Source organism: Homo sapiens, chromosome 19, assembly GCF_000001405.40.
Source record: "Homo sapiens chromosome 19, GRCh38.p14 Primary Assembly".
NCBI classification, from domain to species: Eukaryota; Metazoa; Chordata; class Mammalia; order Primates; family Hominidae; genus Homo; species Homo sapiens.
In genome coordinates this window covers 48,234,927-48,253,442 of record NC_000019.10, presented here as the reverse complement: position 1 = coordinate 48,253,442, position 18,516 = coordinate 48,234,927, and the positions used below count along the sequence as shown (strand labels likewise).

The 18,516-nt window shown below is 40.5% G+C and overlaps 1 protein-coding gene and 1 pseudogene across 21 annotated transcripts in view; one reads left to right on the top strand and one right to left on the bottom strand.

The window, feature by feature from the left end:
- CARD8 (caspase recruitment domain family member 8) overlaps positions 1–18,516 on the top strand; it is a 52,799-nt gene that overhangs the window by 2,504 nt on the left and 31,779 nt on the right. For 5 of the 21 annotated variants that reach the window (NM_001351787.2, NM_001351791.2, NM_001351788.2 and 2 more), the window contains 2 exons: positions 3,596–3,692; positions 12,380–12,481. Coding sequence is in view for 11 of the 21 variants with exons in the window: in NM_001351788.2 (NP_001338717.1) it covers positions 12,423–12,481 (59 nt within the window). In the remaining 10 variants the exon portion in view is untranslated. Of the gene's footprint in view, positions 1–3,564; positions 3,693–3,809; positions 3,921–7,061; positions 7,369–10,798; positions 11,410–12,379; positions 12,482–14,910; positions 15,183–18,516 lie in introns of those variants that run through there. The other 16 variants (NR_147707.1, NM_001351792.2, NM_001351784.2 and 13 more) reach the window with 10 other exon arrangements.
- Positions 1,341–1,688, bottom strand: VN1R97P (vomeronasal 1 receptor 97 pseudogene; annotated as a pseudogene).

The window sequence follows — 18,516 nt, the reverse complement described above, 5'->3', positions numbered from 1 at the left end:
GGGAAGTGGCCCCACTTGGAAACATTTTTGCAGATGAGTATTTAAAATGATAAATGTTGGCCAGGCACGGTGGCTCACACCTGTAATTACAGCACTTTGGGAGGCTGAGGCAGGTGGATCACGTGAGGCCAGGAGTTCGAGACCAGCCTGGCCAAATTGGTGAAACCCCGTCTCTACAAAAATACAAAAATTAGCCAGGCATGGTGATGCATACCTGTAATCCCAGTCACTGCAGCTCCCTGCACCTGTACTCTCACACACCACATTCTCTTAACCAGTCCTATTCTTTTTAGCTCCTATCATGTGTACATATACGTTTTCCTGTACCACAAACATTCTGTATAATCTCTTGTGCTATTATGTTTTATCTGTTTAGATCATGGATGTATGTCCAACCCATTAAATAGTACCAAGAATAAGGAACATGTGCAAAATGTATTTGTGGAATGAATACAAGAAGTGCCATAGAGCAGTGCAGTTTAACAGAAATATAATCCAAGCCCCAAATGTATATTAAATTTTCTAGCAACTGCATTTAAAAAAGCAAAAACAAGCAGATACAGTTAGTTTAAAAATACCTATGTAGTTGTATATGTATACACATATGTGTGTGTGTGTGTGTGTGTGTGTGTGTATATACTGATAAGGCCAGTGCGGTGGCTCACACCTACAATCCTAGCACTTTTGGAGGCTGACACAGGCGGTTCACTTGAGGTCAGGAGTTCTAGACCAGCCTGGCCAACGTGGGGAAACTCTGTCTCTACTAAAAAATACAAAAAAATTAGCCAGGCATGGTGGTGCACACCTATAATCCTAGCTACTCGGAAGGCTGAAGTGGGAGGATTGCTTGAATCCAGGAGGTGGGGGCCGCAGTGAGCTGAGATCACACCACTGCATACTCCAGCCTGGGTGACAGAGCAAGACTCTGTCTCAAAAAAAAAAAATTATATATATTATATATATTCTTACATATGTTTTACTTACATATTTGTGTATATGTATTTTATTTAAATATGCATATATATGTAAACATAACAAAACATATACATACGTTTTACCCAAAATGTCATAATTTAAACTTGTCAGCAATGTGAAAGTTATTAAGATAATATTTATATACTGTTATTTATATTGACTTCAAAACCTGAATGCTTTTTAAATTTATGATACACCTCAATTCAAACTAGCCCTAATTCAATTGCTCAATAACTGCATGACTTTTTCTCCACAAAAGTCATCATGGAGACTTCCCAGCTGCAGAAGAAAGTATGGGGTTTGAGATCAGCCATTGAATGCTCCCTGAGAGCTGATCATTCTTGTCTTAGAGAGGAAGAGGTAAATTAGGAAATAATTTTATTATTTTTTATTAGCACAAAAGGGCAGATGGTTGGGTAGCATGATGAAATAATTCCAGTGATCATCTCTAGTCTTGATTTTTTCTCAGATTTATAAAAGAAATAAAGAGTGATGAAGTTGTTTGAGCAATAAAAGCACACAAAGCAACCAAGCAGCAGGAGGATGGTATGGGTGGCTCTGTGTTCAGGAGATGGCTGGGAAGAGAGGCTAGGGCTGTGCAGACGCTGGGCTCTCCGCCGGTGTCTGCAGAGGAGACTGGCCATGTTGATGCTGGTCCAGACCATGAGGAACACAAACAGGACATGGCGAATCACCATGACATTTATAAATGATCCTTGGGGGAGTTTTATCTGTTTAGATCACGGATGTATGCCAAATCCATTAAATAGTACCAAGAATAAGGAACATGTGCAAAATATATTTGTGGAATGAATAAAATAAGTCCCATAGAGCAGTGCAATTTAACAGAAATATAATCCAAGCCCCAAATGTATATTAAATTATTGTATGTATGGCCTAGTTTGACAACAGTCTTGCAAATATCCAGGACCAGAAATGGTGAAATTGGTATTGGCCTCTACGGTTTCAGTGATGTGAACGTAGATTAGCATGTTGGTGATCCAGAGGAAAATGAAAGAGGGAACAAACCTCAAGGCTGATATGCGGATCACACAATAGTTTACCAAACTGCCCAATATCATAACCAGAGACGTTCACACTACAAACCAGGAGAAAAAGTTGGTGTTTTCACACTGTATAACTTTCTGCAAGATGCTGAAACAAGACTCTATATCATAATGAGACTTTCATCTCACTTAATTCGACCTTTTCTACTTAGCAGAATAATGGTGTAACTTAAATTTTATGATCAATTCCTTCTGCTTATAACTTAACAGAACCCAACCTACAAAATTCTTTAGTATCCATTGGTTAAGCAAGAAATTGTCTGTGATGTTGCTAATACGACATGCTATACCTGAATAAATTCCTCTGAGAAAAGTTGAGGCTCCTATACACAAAATAAGAAAGCAGGCCATGTGGTTACCCCAGGTCTCACCTAACTCCCTGCTGTCTCGAATAACTGTTTGAGTTCTTCAATTAGTTGTCTTTAAACCTAGGTTTATGGCTCAAAACCATATGCAAACTGAAAATCTCATATTGCTCTTAATTTGTATTTCCCCTTACTTTGTATTTCTCCTTTTTAAACTTTGTATGTGTTACTTGTTAAATTTTTTCAGAGGTGCAGCTCCTAACAAAATAATACTGAATCAGCACTTTAAAGGGATAGCAAAAGACTGTAGAACAGACAAAATTGAACTTACTAATGGACTCCAGGGAGACTTAGCCTGAGAGCCACATCCTTCAAATCTCTTTTGTTGCTCAAATGTGCTTTTGACATCGATTCCTAGTCACCAGTCACTCCCCACAACATGGGATGAGACCAGCAAACTGGGAGAGGTCCATGCTGGCATCAGGGGACATCAAATCTTAATTACAGAATGATTGATCAATAATGCTTTTAGAGAAAGTTCTTGATCACAAGGAGAAATCTGAAAGTTGTCAGAACAAAATGGAGCCACTAATGTTAAGATGACCCTGACAAATAAAGCCAGGAAAGCCATGAAGAGGGGGGGTCTTATCCTTGTATGCTTGAAAATGAAAAAGACTCTACAAAACCCACAACCTTGCATAAAGGTCATTGCAACCTTAAACAAAAAATATTTCTGCAAGGAATGCTGCCCAGCAACTGCCTGTCCAACCTCAGACTAATGTCACCTTTGTGCCTGATCCTGTGGCCAAGGAAAATCCTGTCAAAACAATATGCAATCCTCCCCATTTCTGTCTTCCTTTATCTTCCTGAATATATACATAGTTTAATATGGCATATCTATTCCCAATTGCAATGCTCTATTCCCAAATAAACACTGTTTCCTTTAGGAAGCTTTCATATGTTTGTTATTTAGGTTAACACTTGTAATAATTAAAGGATTACAGTTACAATGTAAAATTATTAGTATTAACAACACAAACATTGGTATAAAAATTATTATTACAGAAATTAAAACAACTTGAGTATGGAGAGATTAAGACTGTCCCAGCCAAGTCATTGAAGTCATAAATTTAAGCTATGACTAACAGGATGCAAAGCTTCCTGAGGGTTTTGTTTTGTTTTCAACAAGCGGAGGGCCCCATTTCCCTTTCCGACAGCCTCATAGGAACTTCTCCCTTTCTTCTCAAGTGACCAAGAGGAACAGAACACAGAGCAGCCTGGCAGTGTCCAAGCAACAAGCCTCCGCTCCTCCTTCCTGCACCCTGGGGCTCCTGAAACTCACATGGTAAGCGCTGCAGAAACGCAGCAGGTGGTGACTTTAGGGGAGGACAGGCCAAATGGGAGAATCCCCTTAAGCTTCGGTTTCTCTAGTTCTCAACTTCTTTTGAAATAATGTTCATAGAGAAGGAGGGCTGTCTGAGATTCGAGGGAAACAAGCTCTCAGGACTTCCGGTCGCCATGATGGCTGTGGGCGGTAAACGCGGTTAGTGCAAGCATCTGGGCCATCTTCAATGTGAGTAGGAAAAAACACGACTACACTTACTTCTGCAGAGTTTATAATATCCTTGCCCATTATTTACAATAAAATATCTAAAACATAGGTAATAATATATTTTAAATAAAATTGAAGCAATATATGAAATTTCTCTGAAATTCATCCAGCCACTCTCGGCTGTTGCCACTATCCAGAAACGTCTTAATCCCCCTGCATGATTTATGTATTTGGTTTGTATTTTAAATATTATTTTCTGTAATATTTAAAACTTGTATTTGCTTGGTATCGTGCTGTGCAGTCTCATGCAATTTGATTTTTAATCAATATTACTTTTTTTTTTTTTTGAGACGGAGTCTCGTTCTGTCATCCAGGCTGGAGTCCAGTGGTGTGATCTCGGCTCACTGCAACCTCCACCTCTCGGGTTCAAGCGATTCTTCTGCCTCAGCCTCCCGAGTAGCTGGGGTGACAGGCGCCCGCCACCACGCACGACTAATTTTTGTATTTTTAGTAGAGACGGAGTTTCACTATGTTGCCAGTCTGGCTTCGAACTCCTGATCTCAGGTGATCCGCCCGCCTCGGCCTCCCAAAGTGTTGGGATTACAGGCGTGAGCCACCGTGCCCGGCCCAATAGTACATTTTAAATATTTATCCATGTTTACATGTGGTTTTAATAATTTATGTTAACTGCGCTACAGTATTAATGCAATGATGATATTATAATCAATGTATCCATTCTTTGATGATGGACATTCAGTTTGTTACCCTGTTTTCTGATAGCAAACCATAATACAATGGACTTTTTATATGCATTTTCTTGTCCACACATAATTTCAAGGGTAGGTGTGTCTTGAAGTCTAGATACAGCCAGTTTATTCTCCAAAGCGGCTGTGTTTTCAGTCATCTCCACTACTGGTTTACGAGTTTCCATTGCTACACATTCATATTCACACTTGATTTTGTCAGCTTTTCTTATTTCCATCAGTATTGTGGGTGAGAATGATAACTGATAGTGGTTGTCATGCACATTCCCCTGATTACTAGTGAATTTTAACATCTTTTCAGGACATTTGTGTTTTATCCTTTTGATTCCTTATTTATATCATTAATTCATTTCTCTGTTGTTTGTTTCTTCAATATGTCAAGGAATAATGAATTTTATTCCAATTTTTGGAAGTTTAGGAATTTTTTTTAAATGACAGGGCTTCGCTGTGTGGCACAGACTGGTCTCAGCCATTTGGACCCAAGTGATCCTCCCACCTCGGCCTCCGGGTGGCTGGGGCTACAGGCAATACGTGCAGGCAAGGCTATAACTTCATGCGTGACTGGGATTTTTATTACATGTTTTTTAAAATTTCCAATGTCACATAAAATACTATACAAGAATTTTAGTATTTGAACTTTAAAGAATGTAATTTTGCATTTTTTTCTTGTGAAGATGAATACAGATTTTCATGGGAGTAAAAAAGACAATTTAAGGTGAAGAGTATTTGGTTTTCATGAAATAATTTGATTTCTAAAATAAAAGTAAACCGTCAAAACTTTTTAAATGCAATATGAAAATGTTTTCAGTTGAAATAGTCATAGTAAAATTTGATGAGTGGTAACTGAATTTTAATTGAAATTTCAATTGAGAATACATATGATACAATGTGTATCACAAATGGTAAAAATCATGTGTATTTTAATGTTAAAATTTAAAATTTAGTGTAATTTAATTTTGCTTGTGTGACATCAAAACAAATGGAAGCATTGTGTGTGTGTGTATATATATATATATATATATACAATAACATAGTGTCATGAAAGTATAGTATATATATATAAAATTTTGCGTGTGAAAATTTTAGGTGGAGGTTTTTAAACCATTTGTTTACTTTATAAAGGGTAATAAATTCACATAGTCTGCTCCCCAAACACAGTTGAATATGTACTGTGGTGTTACTGTATATATATATATCCAGAGTTTCTTTATGCATATACAAATTTTTACTCTTTACTTGAAGAGTAGAAAGTTTACATGTTGTTTACTATGCCTTTCTTCATTAACAATAGATCTTAGTGATAATTCAGTATCAGTTTTTAGTGAACTTTGACATTCTTTTAAAATTGCATATTATTTCATCATCGGATGTATCATGATGTCTTTATTCATTCCCCTATTGAAAAACATTTCAGTTGTTTCAAATTTTAGTTTATTTTATTTTACTTTTAATTTTTGAGATGGAGTCTTGCTGTGTCACCCAGGCTGGAGTGCAGTGGCACCATTTTGGCTCACTGCAACCTATGACTTCTTGGTTCAAGCGATTCTCCTGCCTCACCCTCCCGAGTAGCTGAAATTACAGGCCCATGCCACCACACCCAGGTAATTTTTGTATTTTTCGTAGAGACGGGGTTTCACCTTGTTGGCCAGGCTGGTCTCGAACTCCTGACCTCAAGTGATCTACCCGGCTTGGCCTCTCAAGGTGTGGTGATTACAGGCTTGAGCCATAGCGCCTGGCCTCAATTGTATTTATGAAGAGTGCCACAGTGAGTAAACATGTGAGCATGAGTTCATACATAGGTAAGTATATTTGTATAGGAGTATATCAATTCCTCAAAATTGATTTACCATTCCAAATGGGATGTCATTTATGCGTTCAAAGATGTCCATAAAGTTGCCATCCATATAATGAATAGCAGGTGACACTCCCATCAGCAATATCAGAATGTCAGATTTCCCACAGCCTTGTCAGTAGATGAGTTTTCAGACTTTCGCATGATTTCCAAATTCATGGAGAAAAAATATTCAAGAGTAGCTTTAATCTTCATTCAGCATGGTGTTTTTTCATTCAGCACGTGCTTGGGAACCATTTATTTTTCCATTTCTGTGAATTTCATGTTCATATCCTTTGTCTACCTATTTCTAGAGCAATGTTTTTTTTTATTATTGATTTTCTATTTCATGTATCAGAATAGCTCTTTGCTCTGCTCTATTTGTCTATCTGTTTGTCAGTCTATCTATCGAGAAGTAAATACAGGCATGTGTAGGCACAGTTCGGTATACATGCATGGATTCCCCAGGTCTTTCCACTGAGAGAGATTAGGACAAAGATATCTTAGTAGCTGTAAACACACATAGTTTCCAGATCTTGGTTTCTAAATACTGTTTTTGAATACAAGGGAGCCAAGGATCCGTGGAGAAGTGGTTACTTCCAGGGCTGGGGCAGGAGTATATAGGATAACATTGGAACAAATTGTGACTCCAGAACATGAAGAAATATTCCAAAAAGGACGGGGCATGTTGACTGAACACAGAAGACAAACATGCATGACCTCAGCCTAATCGTGAGAAAACATCAAAGAAATCCAAATTGATAAACATTCTGTAAAATAGTTGACCATGTTCCGCAAAAATGTCACAATCACAAAAGACAAGGGAAGAATAAGAAACGGTCACAGACTGGAGGAATCTAAGGAGGGATAACAAGTAAGTGCAATGTGAGATCCTCGATTAGATCTTGGAGAACAAAGAGGACATTCAGACAAATGTTGATAAAATTCAAATAAGGTCTGCACATTAAGTAATGGTATGATATGCTAACATCAATTTCCTGGTTGGATAATTGTATTATATATACTATTATATATGTAATTATCATATTACAATTGCATATACAATTGTATATTATATATAATATATTAAATGTAGATATGCAATTATTTATATATAATACAATAAATGTATATATAATACAATATACAATACAATAAATTAGTTATTTTATATATAACAATTATTTTATATATAATACAATTATATATAGCTAACATTCAGATAAGCTGGTTGAGGATTTATGTGAATCTTTGCTATTTTTCAATGTTTAAAATTATTTCAAAATAAAAGCATTATATGGGTCATGTAGTTTTTTTGTATAGTTTAGTTCTAGGTACCATAGTTGCTATTTTAATGAGTGTATTTTCTTCTTTCATGGAATTGGGATAGTCTGTTATATTAAGAAGCTATTCACTTTTGTATATTAAGATTCTTCTGGCTGGTGCGGTGGCTGACACCTGTAATCCCAGCACTTTGGGAGGCTGAGGTGGGCGGATCACCTGAGGTCAGAAGTTTGAGACCAGCCTATCCAACATGGTGAAACCCCATCTCTACTAAAAATACAAAAAAAATTAGCCAGGCATGGTGGTGCATGTCTGTAATCGCAGCTACTTGGGAGGCTAAGGCAGGAGAATCACTTGAACCCAGGATGCAGAGGTTGCAGTGAGCCGAGATTGTGCCACTTCTCTACAGCCTGAGCGACAGAGGGAGGCCCCGTCTCAAAGAAAAAAAAAGATTCTTTCTCTAACTTACTGGTTTATCTTACTTTTGTAGCTTATTTCAGGTGATTCGTTATGTTTCTCTATAGAGGAAAATAACGTGTAGTGAGTTATAGTTTAATCTCCTTCCTTTCAATCACTGTATTTGGAATTTGTCCAATATTTTGGAATAAGCTTCCGATATTTTAACTTAAATAGGGAAGGTCTTGGTATTTTCCTGACTTCAGCTGGAATGATTTCATAGTGTCCACATGAAGCACAAGGTTATCCTTTGGCCTGAGAGAGACATATTATGCCGAGAATGTGTGTAATCCTTTTTACTTAGGAATTGTGGGTGGAGTTTTTTTCCCCCCAAGAGTGATTGTTAACTTGGGTCCATCATTTTCCTTTGATTGTTCTTTATCTAAAACAAAACAAAACAAAAAACAACAACTTCCTGGTCTTCTCACCTATTTTCTTGTAGTGCCTTTAAGCAATGCTCTGGTAATATCTTTTTCTTAATTATTATGGAATGCATGGGACCGTTCCATGCCTGATTATATGCAGAATGTTCTTTCTACAAGTGTGTTTTTGTAGTATTTCTGTACTCTGTCACATTAGGGCATTTCTCTGTTTTCAAGGATCCACACCGCCTCTACCACATTTATCTCCTGCTCAGCCTCCACTCTACCTGCCCAGACCTCACAGCTCTTGTATTCAAACTCTATAGATAAATCACCGAGTATGAGGCTTTACTCACAGGAAATTACTCCTCTGGCACTTCCTGACTTCTTTATGTTTTCTCACTCTGCACTTCCTCCCTGTTCCTCCGCCATGCTTCACCCTGACTTAACACAGTTTTGTCAGCCGGTGAGAAACATTTGGATCTGTGAATTAAATCTGTCTCCTCATTATTCTGAAAATGGAGTTTTCATGGACTTTTCCGTTCACCTTATTGCTTTCATTGATACTCAGTAATAGACAAGATAAACTGTTATTTCTCATTGCCTTGTTCATTTCAGAAGTACCAGGTAGAATTTTACAATTCTTGCCTTGATACATATTCCCAGTAATTGTTGAGTGATTTAATTGTATGTTGTCTTGATATTACTTTGGTCATATATTACATTATTTCTCATTTTTGAATATCTGGATTTACATAAATTCTGTGTAATTCAGGTTTGTATTTATCCAAGTTCTCAGAAACTACAACTGCTGTAATTGATCATAACTCTCCTAATACAGGTGTAACTAAAGTGAGAGATGCTTTTTGACTCATGAAAAAAAGAAGACTGTAGACCAAGTCTCAATAACTTCTACTTAATCCTATAGAAAGTTAGCCAAGATAATGTACACCTTCTTTAAGATTCTTATAAGGAAAAAATTCCATTTCGTTTCTTGAAATGAGGTATTGCTTTGTCGCCCAGACTGGAATGCAGCGGCGCCATCATAGCTCACTGCGACCTTAATCTCCTGGGATCAAGGGATCCTGTCACTTCAGCCTCCTGAGTAGCTGGGACTACAGGCACAAACCACTGTGCCTGGCTTCATGAGAAAAAATTAAATATATAATGGTACTAGGTAAAATAATACTAAATAAGAAGTAATTTGAATGCATACTATATTAACTCTGGAATAACGATACTTAAGTAAAAGAAAAGTGTTCGTTATAACAAAGGAAAAGCTTGTAGTTCAGAGGATAGCTAAATTAAATTTTTCGCAGGCTGTGAGAAGCATAATAATTAAACATGAATAAATTAAATATGCAGATTTTAATATTTTTATTGAAAATTGGATAGAAATATTTGTTTAGTTGGAACCTGTGAGTGATTATTATGCATATAAATAGACATTCAGTTATTGCAGATAAATTCAGTGGTGGTAAAATAAAACATTTGTATAGGGTTTTGGAATTCAAATCTTTAGATTATTTCTCTGGGCCAGGGGCAATGGCTCACGTCTGTAATCCCAGCACTTTGAGAGGCTGAGGCGGGAGGATCACCAGGTCAGGAGATCGAGACCATCCTGGCTAACACGGTGAAACCCCGTCTCTACTAAAAATACAAAAAAATTAGCCAGGCGTCATGGCTCACGCATGTAGTCCCAGCTGCTCAGGAGGCTGAGGCAGGAAAATCGCTTGAACCTGGGAGGTGGAGCAGCCTGGTGACTAATTACAAATTAATGATTTGTATTTCACTAATTATCTTTTCTGTTATCCAGAGTCTCTGAAATGCTATTAATAATATGTATTTTTATTATTATATAAAAGTTAATCTTCAAAAATCACAATAACTTATCACTTTACATGTACTAGAATGGCCATTTTCAAAAGGCCCATAATAACAATTATAGGTGAGGATATGGAGAAGCTGGCCCCCTCCTACACTGCTGGTGGGAATGGAGATTGGCGCTTTGGTATATGTGCTGCCGAAGCGAGCACGGAAATTGGCGCTTTGGAAAACAGTCTGGCAGTTCCTTGAAGGGTAAACATAGAGTTACCATATGACCCAGCAACTCCACTCCTAAGTATGTACCCAAGAGAAGGAAATAATCTGTCCACATGGAAATTCGTACCTGAATATTCACAGTATCATTTTTCATAACAGCCCCAAAGTGGAACTCACCCAAATGTCTATCGTCTGCTGAATGGATAAGAGAATATGTGATGTCTCCATACGGTGGAATATTATTCAGCCATGAAAGCAAAGGAGGTGCTGTTATGCGGTATAATATGGATGGACCTTGAAAACATACGGGAAGTGAAAGAATCCATCACAAAGGACAATATATTGTTTGATGCCTGTCTTAGTCACTTTGGGCTTCTTTAACAAAAGTATCATAGACTATGTGGCTTAAACAACAGAATTTATTTCTCACAGTTCTGGAGGCTGGGAAGTCCACGATCAAGGCACTGGTACATTCAGTGCCTGGAGAGGACCTGCTTCCTTGTTCATAGACGGCTGACTTCTTGCTGCGCCCTCCCACGGTAGAAAGCGGGAGCGAGGTCTCTGGGGTCTCTTTGCTAAGGGCGTTGAGACCATTCATGAGGATTCCACCCTCATGACCTCATCACCTCCCGAAGGCCCCATCTCCTCCTATCATCACATTTGGAGTTAGGATTTCAACACATGAACTTGAGGGTGGACACATACATTCGGTCCATAACAACTCCTATTAAATCAAATGTCCAGAATGAGTCAACCTATGGAGACAGAAGGTGGATGCGTGGGTGCCTGTGGCTGGGTGTGCGTGCCTGTGGGGAATGGGGAGTGCCGCTTAATGAGTTTCTTTTTGAGGTGATGACGCTGTCCTAAAACTGATTGTGGTGGTGGTTGTACAACTTCATTACTATATATACAACATTGAATTGTAGACTTATGTGGGTGAATTGTGTGGTTTGTGAACTATATATCCATAAAGCCATTATTTTAAAAATCTAATCTTTAAAAAATGTCATAGCAGAGCCGGTGAAGGTAATGGATTAGACAACGGTTCCTAAACCCAAGTATTTTAAAGAAATCAAGGTGACAATTTAGGCAAGAAAAACGATTAGAGTTGTACGAGAGAAGAATGGAAGGCAAGGAAAATAATCACACTTTTGCCTCTGTCAGGTTGGAATCTTTAGAAGTTCCTGTTCTGCATAACTTAACTTGCAGACCCAGGGCCACATCAAAAATAAAAGAATTTGAAAAATCCGGCAGGGCACGGTGGCTCACGCCTGCAATCCGGCACTTTGGGAGGCCGAGACGGGCCGATCACCTGAGGTTGGGAGTTTGAGACCAGCCTGACCAACATGGAGAAACCCTGTCTATACTAAAAATAGAAAAATTAGCCGGGTATGGTGGCGCATGCCTGTAATCCCAGCTACTCAGGAGGCTGAGGCAGGAGAATCGCTTGAACCCGGGAGGTGGAGGTTGCTGTGAGTCAAGATCTCGCCATTGCACTCCAGCCTGGGTGACAGAGCTAGACTCCATCTAAAAAAAAAGGAAGTTTCTAGTTTCTGTTTTACAACTCTCCTGTTTCGGCCTCTGTCCCAAGTACCTACCACTACTAGGAGCAATTCCACTGATGCATCTCTTGTGAATGAGCAATAAGCGCTTTTGTCAACCTTTGAGAGACACAGAAGCTAAGATTTATCTGATGGTTCTTCCCAAGTACCTAAATACAACCTCCTTTTATTTTTTCAGGGTAAAAAAGATACAGTAAAGACATAAATACCACATTTGACAAATGGAAAAAAAGGAGTGTCCAGAAAAGAGTAGCAGCAGTGAGGAAGAGCTGCCGAGACGGTGAGTGACTTTGCGCTCTGTGAGGGCTCCTGATGGCTGATTCTTCTGTGTTTCGTTATAGTTCATGAGATACAGAGGACCATGGATGTTTTCTGGAAGAAAGGTTCTGCTCACATTTTATTCATTCACCCATCTCTGCATGAATGAAGGGAAAACTCCCATGGGCACCCAGGTGTACTTTTTTTTTTTTTTTGACACAGAGTCTTGTTTTGTTGCCCAGGCCAGAGTGCGCTGGTACCATCTCAGCTCACTACAACCTCTGCCTCCTGGGTTCAAGCGATTCTTCTGCCTCAGCCTCCCAAGTAGCTGGGATTACAGGCATGCACCACCACGCCTGGCTACTTTTTGTATTTTTAGTAGAGACGGGGTTTCATCATGTTGACCAGGCTGGTCTGGACCTCCTGACCTCAGGTGATCCACCCACCTCGGCCTCCCAAAGTGCTGGGATTACAGGAGTGAGCCACTGCGCCTGGCCCAGGTGTACTTTTTAGACCTTCTCTCTCCTTCCCTGTTTCTGACCTTTTTAGACCTTCTCTCTCCTTCCTTGATTCTGACCATGGCAACTTCATACCTGAGCAAAAGCGAGTCTAGGGCTGTTCTTCCAGCTCTTTCCTTGATGCATGGGCCTATGGCCTTGACCACGCTCTTGACAATCCCATAGCATGGCGCCCAGATCAGAGCAGAACCAAGCAGCCTGACTCACTAAGCCCTCCCTCTGTGTGTTTCAGTGGCTCCTCATCAGCACCAGGTTTATGTCTCATTTGTAGAAAATGAATGCACTGTTTTACATTGTCTTGGAACTCAAAACAAATTAATCTGACCAAATATTTCATGTATGCAATTCAGACACTGCTGCAGAATGAATGTTTGTGTTCTTCCAATATTAATATGTTGAAATCCTAACTTCCAATGTGATGTTGTTAGGAGATGGGGCCTTTGAGAGGTGTCAGGTGATAAAGGTAGCGCCCTCATGAATGGAATTAGTTCCCTCATGAAGGAACCCTGGAGAGCTCCTTTCTCTTTCCCCATGCTTGGACAGAACAAGAAGTCTGCCCTCTATGAATCAGGAGCAGACACTGATCTACCAGCACCTTGATCCTGGGCTTTCCAGCATCCAGAGCTGTGACAAATACATTTATATTGTTCACAAGCTTCTCAGTCCATAGGTTTTAAAAATAGCAACCTTGGCCAGGCATGGTGACTCACGCCTGTAATCCGAGCACTTTGGGAGGCGGAGGCGGGCAGATCACCTGATGTCAGGAGTTCGAGACCAGTCTGGCCAACATGGTGAAACCCCATCTCTACTACAAATATAAAAATTAGCTGGGCATGGTGGCGGGCACTTGTAATCCCAGCTACTCGGGAGGCTGAGGCACGAGAATCGCTTGAACCTGGGAGGTGGAGGTTGCAGTGAGCCAAGATCGCTCCATTGCACTCCAGCCTGGGCGACAACAGTGAAACTCTGTCTCAAAAAAAAAAAAAAAAAAAAGTCTGAAATGACTGAGACAGATGATCTGGCATGCATAAAAGACCACGGACTAGGACGAATTGTTTGCTTTGGGAACCCAGTGTTTCCAACTCTTGCGCTAAGTAATTTTAGCCTTCTATGATTAATCACCACAAGGATTTGTGACGAGAGTACTGTATCCTTATTTTACAAATTAGAAAGCTGATACTCAGAGAGGTTAAGCAACAACTTTGACAGGTCTGTCACTGCTGAGTGATGTCTGTGAAAGGCAGTGAATGCAGATCACTCTAGTGTCCATCATCCCTGACACGCTCACACTAAATAAAGAGATCCTACCTTCAAATAAGCTCAGTCCATTCAGTGTTGTGCAAACAACTTCATCTGGTTAACATTCCCTCCTGTTTAGGACCAACGAAGGATAGAAGAGTGGGGCCCTTGTTATGCTCCTATAGTTTACAAAAACACAGTATCCTTTCAGAAGCCAGTAGCGAGCATCACCAAGTGTGACAGACCGTGATGAACATCAGGGATTGAGAATCAAAGGAGGCATGCCTCCTGAGATAAGATCATTGTCTACGAAGTGGTAACAGCAATGCAGTTAGTTCAATAAAAATGTGGAGGAATGGTATTTTATTCTAGCATGGGCATCGAAGAAGGTGTCTCTAAGAATGGGCATCTCTAAGACATCTCTGAGGATGGCATCTCTAAGGATAGTATCTCTAAGGATGGCATCTCTATGGATGGGCATGTCTAAGGATGGATGTCTCTAAGGATGGCATCTCTATGGATGGGCATGTCTAAGGATGGATATCTCTAAGGATGGCATCTCTATGGATGGGCATGTCTAAGGATGGATATCTCTAAGGATCGGGCTACTTTCGCTACATCACAGTGAGGAGATTGTCCCACCATCGAGCTCCTCTGACATGCTCACATTCCAATTCCATTTGTGTTTTCCCAGGGACAGTGGATCCAGTAGGAACATAGATGCATCCAAACTCATTAGACTACAAGGATCACGGAAACTGTTGGTTGACAATAGCATACGGGAACTGCAATACACAAAAACTGGAATTTTTTTTCAGGCTGAGGCCTGTGTGACAAATGATACGTAAGGGACATCTATTTGTTGGGAAAAAATTAAAGATTTGGAATTTTGCTCCATTGGTTTATGTACATTCATAAGAAGCAAAGACATGCAGGTTATTTGCATAAAAATTAGTATATATGTTACTTTTCTTCTTTGTTATCTTAAGTTTTTATTTCAAAAGAGTTTGTATCTCATAAGAAGTAGGGAAAAAAGGTCTGAGCCCAGTGGCTCACACCTGTAATCTCAGCACACTGGGAGGCGAGGGCAGGTGGATCGCCTGAGGTCAAAAGTTTGAGACCAGCCTGGCCTACATGGTGAAACCCCATCTCTACTAAAAATACAAAAATCAGCTGGGCATAGTGGCCCACACCTGTAATCCCAGCTACTCAGGAGGCTGAGGCAGGAGAATTGCTCAAACCTGGGAGGCGGAGGTTGCAGTGAGCCGAGATCGTGCAACTGCACTCCAGCCTGGGAGACAGAGTGAGGCTTTGTCTCAAAAAAAATAATAACAATATTAATGATAAAGTAGTTGGGAGAGAAGGGCAGAGTTCCCATGTAGCCTTCACCAAGTTTCCCCTCACGATAATACTTTTTTTCTTTTTTTTTTGAGACGAAGTCTTGCTCTGTTGCCCAGGCTGGAGTGCAGTGGCACGATCTTGGCTCACTACAACCTCTGCTTCTGGGGTTCAAGCGATTCTTTTGCCTCAGCCTCCCAAGTAGCTGGAATTACAGGTGCCCACTACCACACCTGGCTAATTTTTGTATTTTTAGTAGATACGGGGTTTCACCATGTTGGCCAGGCTGGTCTCAAACTCCTGACCTCAAGTGATCCTCCTGCCTCAGCCTCCCAAAGTGCTGGGATTACAGGCGTGAGTCGCTGCACCCAGCCGATAATACTTCCTGTAACAATAGCGATATGATTTGGATGTTTGTCCCTTCCAAATCTCATGCTGAAATGTGATGGAGTGTTGGAGGTGGGGCCTGGAGGGAGGTGAATGGATCAAGGGGGCATATCCCTCATAAATGGTTTAGCACCATTCCTTTGGTGATAAGTGGCTTCTTACTCTGAGTTCATGCAAGATCTGGTTCTTTAAAAGTGTGTGGCACCTCCCCCTTCACTGTCTTGCTCCTGCTGACATCATATGACAGGCCTGTTCCACTTCACCTTCCACCATGAGTTAAACGTCCCTGAGGCCTCCCAGAAACCAAGCAGAAGCTGGTCCCATGATGTACATCCTGCAGCACCATGAGCCAATTAAACCTCTTTTCTTTGTAAATTGCCTAGTCTCAGACAGTCCTCTATAGCAATGCAAGAATGACCCAATACAGGCCAGGCGCGGTGTCTCACTCCTGTAATCCCAGCACTTTGGGAGGCTGAGAGGGGCGGACCACCTGATGTCGGGAGTTTGAAACCAGCCTGACCAACATGGAGGAACCCCCATCTCTACTAAAAATACAGAATTAGCCGGGCTTGGTGGCGCATGCCTGTAATCCCAGCTACTCAGGAGGCTTGAGGCAGGATAATTGCTTGAACTCGGGAGGCAGAGGTTGCAGTGAGCCAAGATCACGCCATTGCACTCTAGCCTGGGCAACAAGAGCAAAACTCCATCAAAAAAACAAAAAACAAAAAAACCAGAATGACCCAATACAAACAGTCATTGCTAATACCAGGAAACTGATGTTGATACAGTACTGTTAACTCAGGTATAGATTTTATTTCAGGGTGATATTTCACAGGCTGAAAAGCACTGCTAATGAGGACAGGAATTCCTCAGTCTTGCTTGGTCCATGCACCCATTTAACATGGGATATTTTAAAAGCAGTGCTGCACGCCGGGGACCATGGATGGTAGAGCTTAAAGAACTACTTTGTTTAATAAAACCTATCCCAGACTGGGTGCGGTGGCTCACAGGTGTAATCCCAGGACTTTGGGAGGCCAGGGCGGGTGGTTCACTTGAGGTCAGGAGTTGGAGACCAGCCTGGCCAACATGATGAAACCCTGTCTCTACCAAAAATATAAAAAATTAACCGGGTGTGCTGGTGCATGCCTGTAATCCCAGCTATTGGGGACGCTGAGGCAGGAGAATAGCTTGAACCCGGGAGGCAGAGGTTGCAGTGAGCCAAGATCATGCCACTGCACTCCAGCCTGGGCAACAGAGCCAGACTCTGTCTCAATTTAAAAAATAAAAATAAAAATAGAAATGAAACCAATGGCAGATAGCCCAAGGCAGGACCCTCTGGTCAACTGGACTACAGCAGAGGTTCTAAAGTCAATGCTGTCCAATAGAGTTCTCACCCAGGATGGAAATGTTCCCTGTCTGTGGTGTCCAGTGTGAAAGCCACTGGCCTCACATGGCTTTTTCTTTTTTTAACATACATACTTTAATCAGAATTGCTGAAAAAATATTCAGGATTTTTGCTCTTGTTGTTGATGTTTTTAACAGGCTTAATTTTCCAGCTGAAACCCGATTTTACATTGCAAACAAATGTTCTTTTTTTTTTTTAGACAAAAGTTGTCTTCAGTAATAATTCCTCAGTTATTTTCTTTCTTTTTTTTTGCTTTCCTTTTTTGTCAATGATTTTTTTCTACAGTTTGGTTTTGAACTTACTTCAAAATCTCTCAACAATTGCTTTCACAGATATTCAGCTGATGGAAGTGTTCACTGTTGTAACCTTTTGTGGAGAGTGATTTGGGAATATCTATCAAACAGTAATGCTCAGGCTGGGTGCGGTGGCTCATGACTGTAATCCCAGTGCTTTGGGATGCCAAGGTGGAAGGATTTCTTGGGGCCGGGAATTCAAGACCAGCCTGAGACCTCATCTCTATTCCCTGGAGTCCTCTTCAAAGCAGATTTTGTTGCCAGACGTCCTATGCCTATGTCCATTACCCAGAAAAATTCTTTTAGTTTCACGTGGCTGGGGAGGCCTCACCATCATGGCAGAAGTCAAAGGAGGAGCAAAGGCATGTCTTACATGGTGGCAGGCAAGAGCCACGTGTGGCTTTTGAGCACTTGAAATATGGCTACTTCAAAGGAGGAACTGATTTTCACATTTAACAATTTAAAACTAAATGTAAATAGGCAGGTGTGGCTAGTGGCTGTCATATTGGCCATTGAATATCTTGGCATAAAGGACACTCCATCACTCCTAACCTCAATCTTGATTCCTGCCAGCCATAGGAGGACAGCACCAAGCCTTCAAAAATGAAGAAGAGAAAAGGATCTAGCATAGGACTCTCATGTTCCATATCTGAATAAGGATCCTTGATGGGAAAAGAAAGTGTGTACAATATCCATAATTTTCTTTTTCTGTGAGCATTTTTGTTGCTTTATGCAACCCCTCTCACCATTTGCAGGCAGAAGGGAGAAGAGGAGATAACTGTTCCATGGGTTCTTATAAAACATGCCCAATCTCACTAATGCCCTGCAATCCCAATCATTTTAGGGTCCTATTCTCTCGGGCACCAATTATGGATGA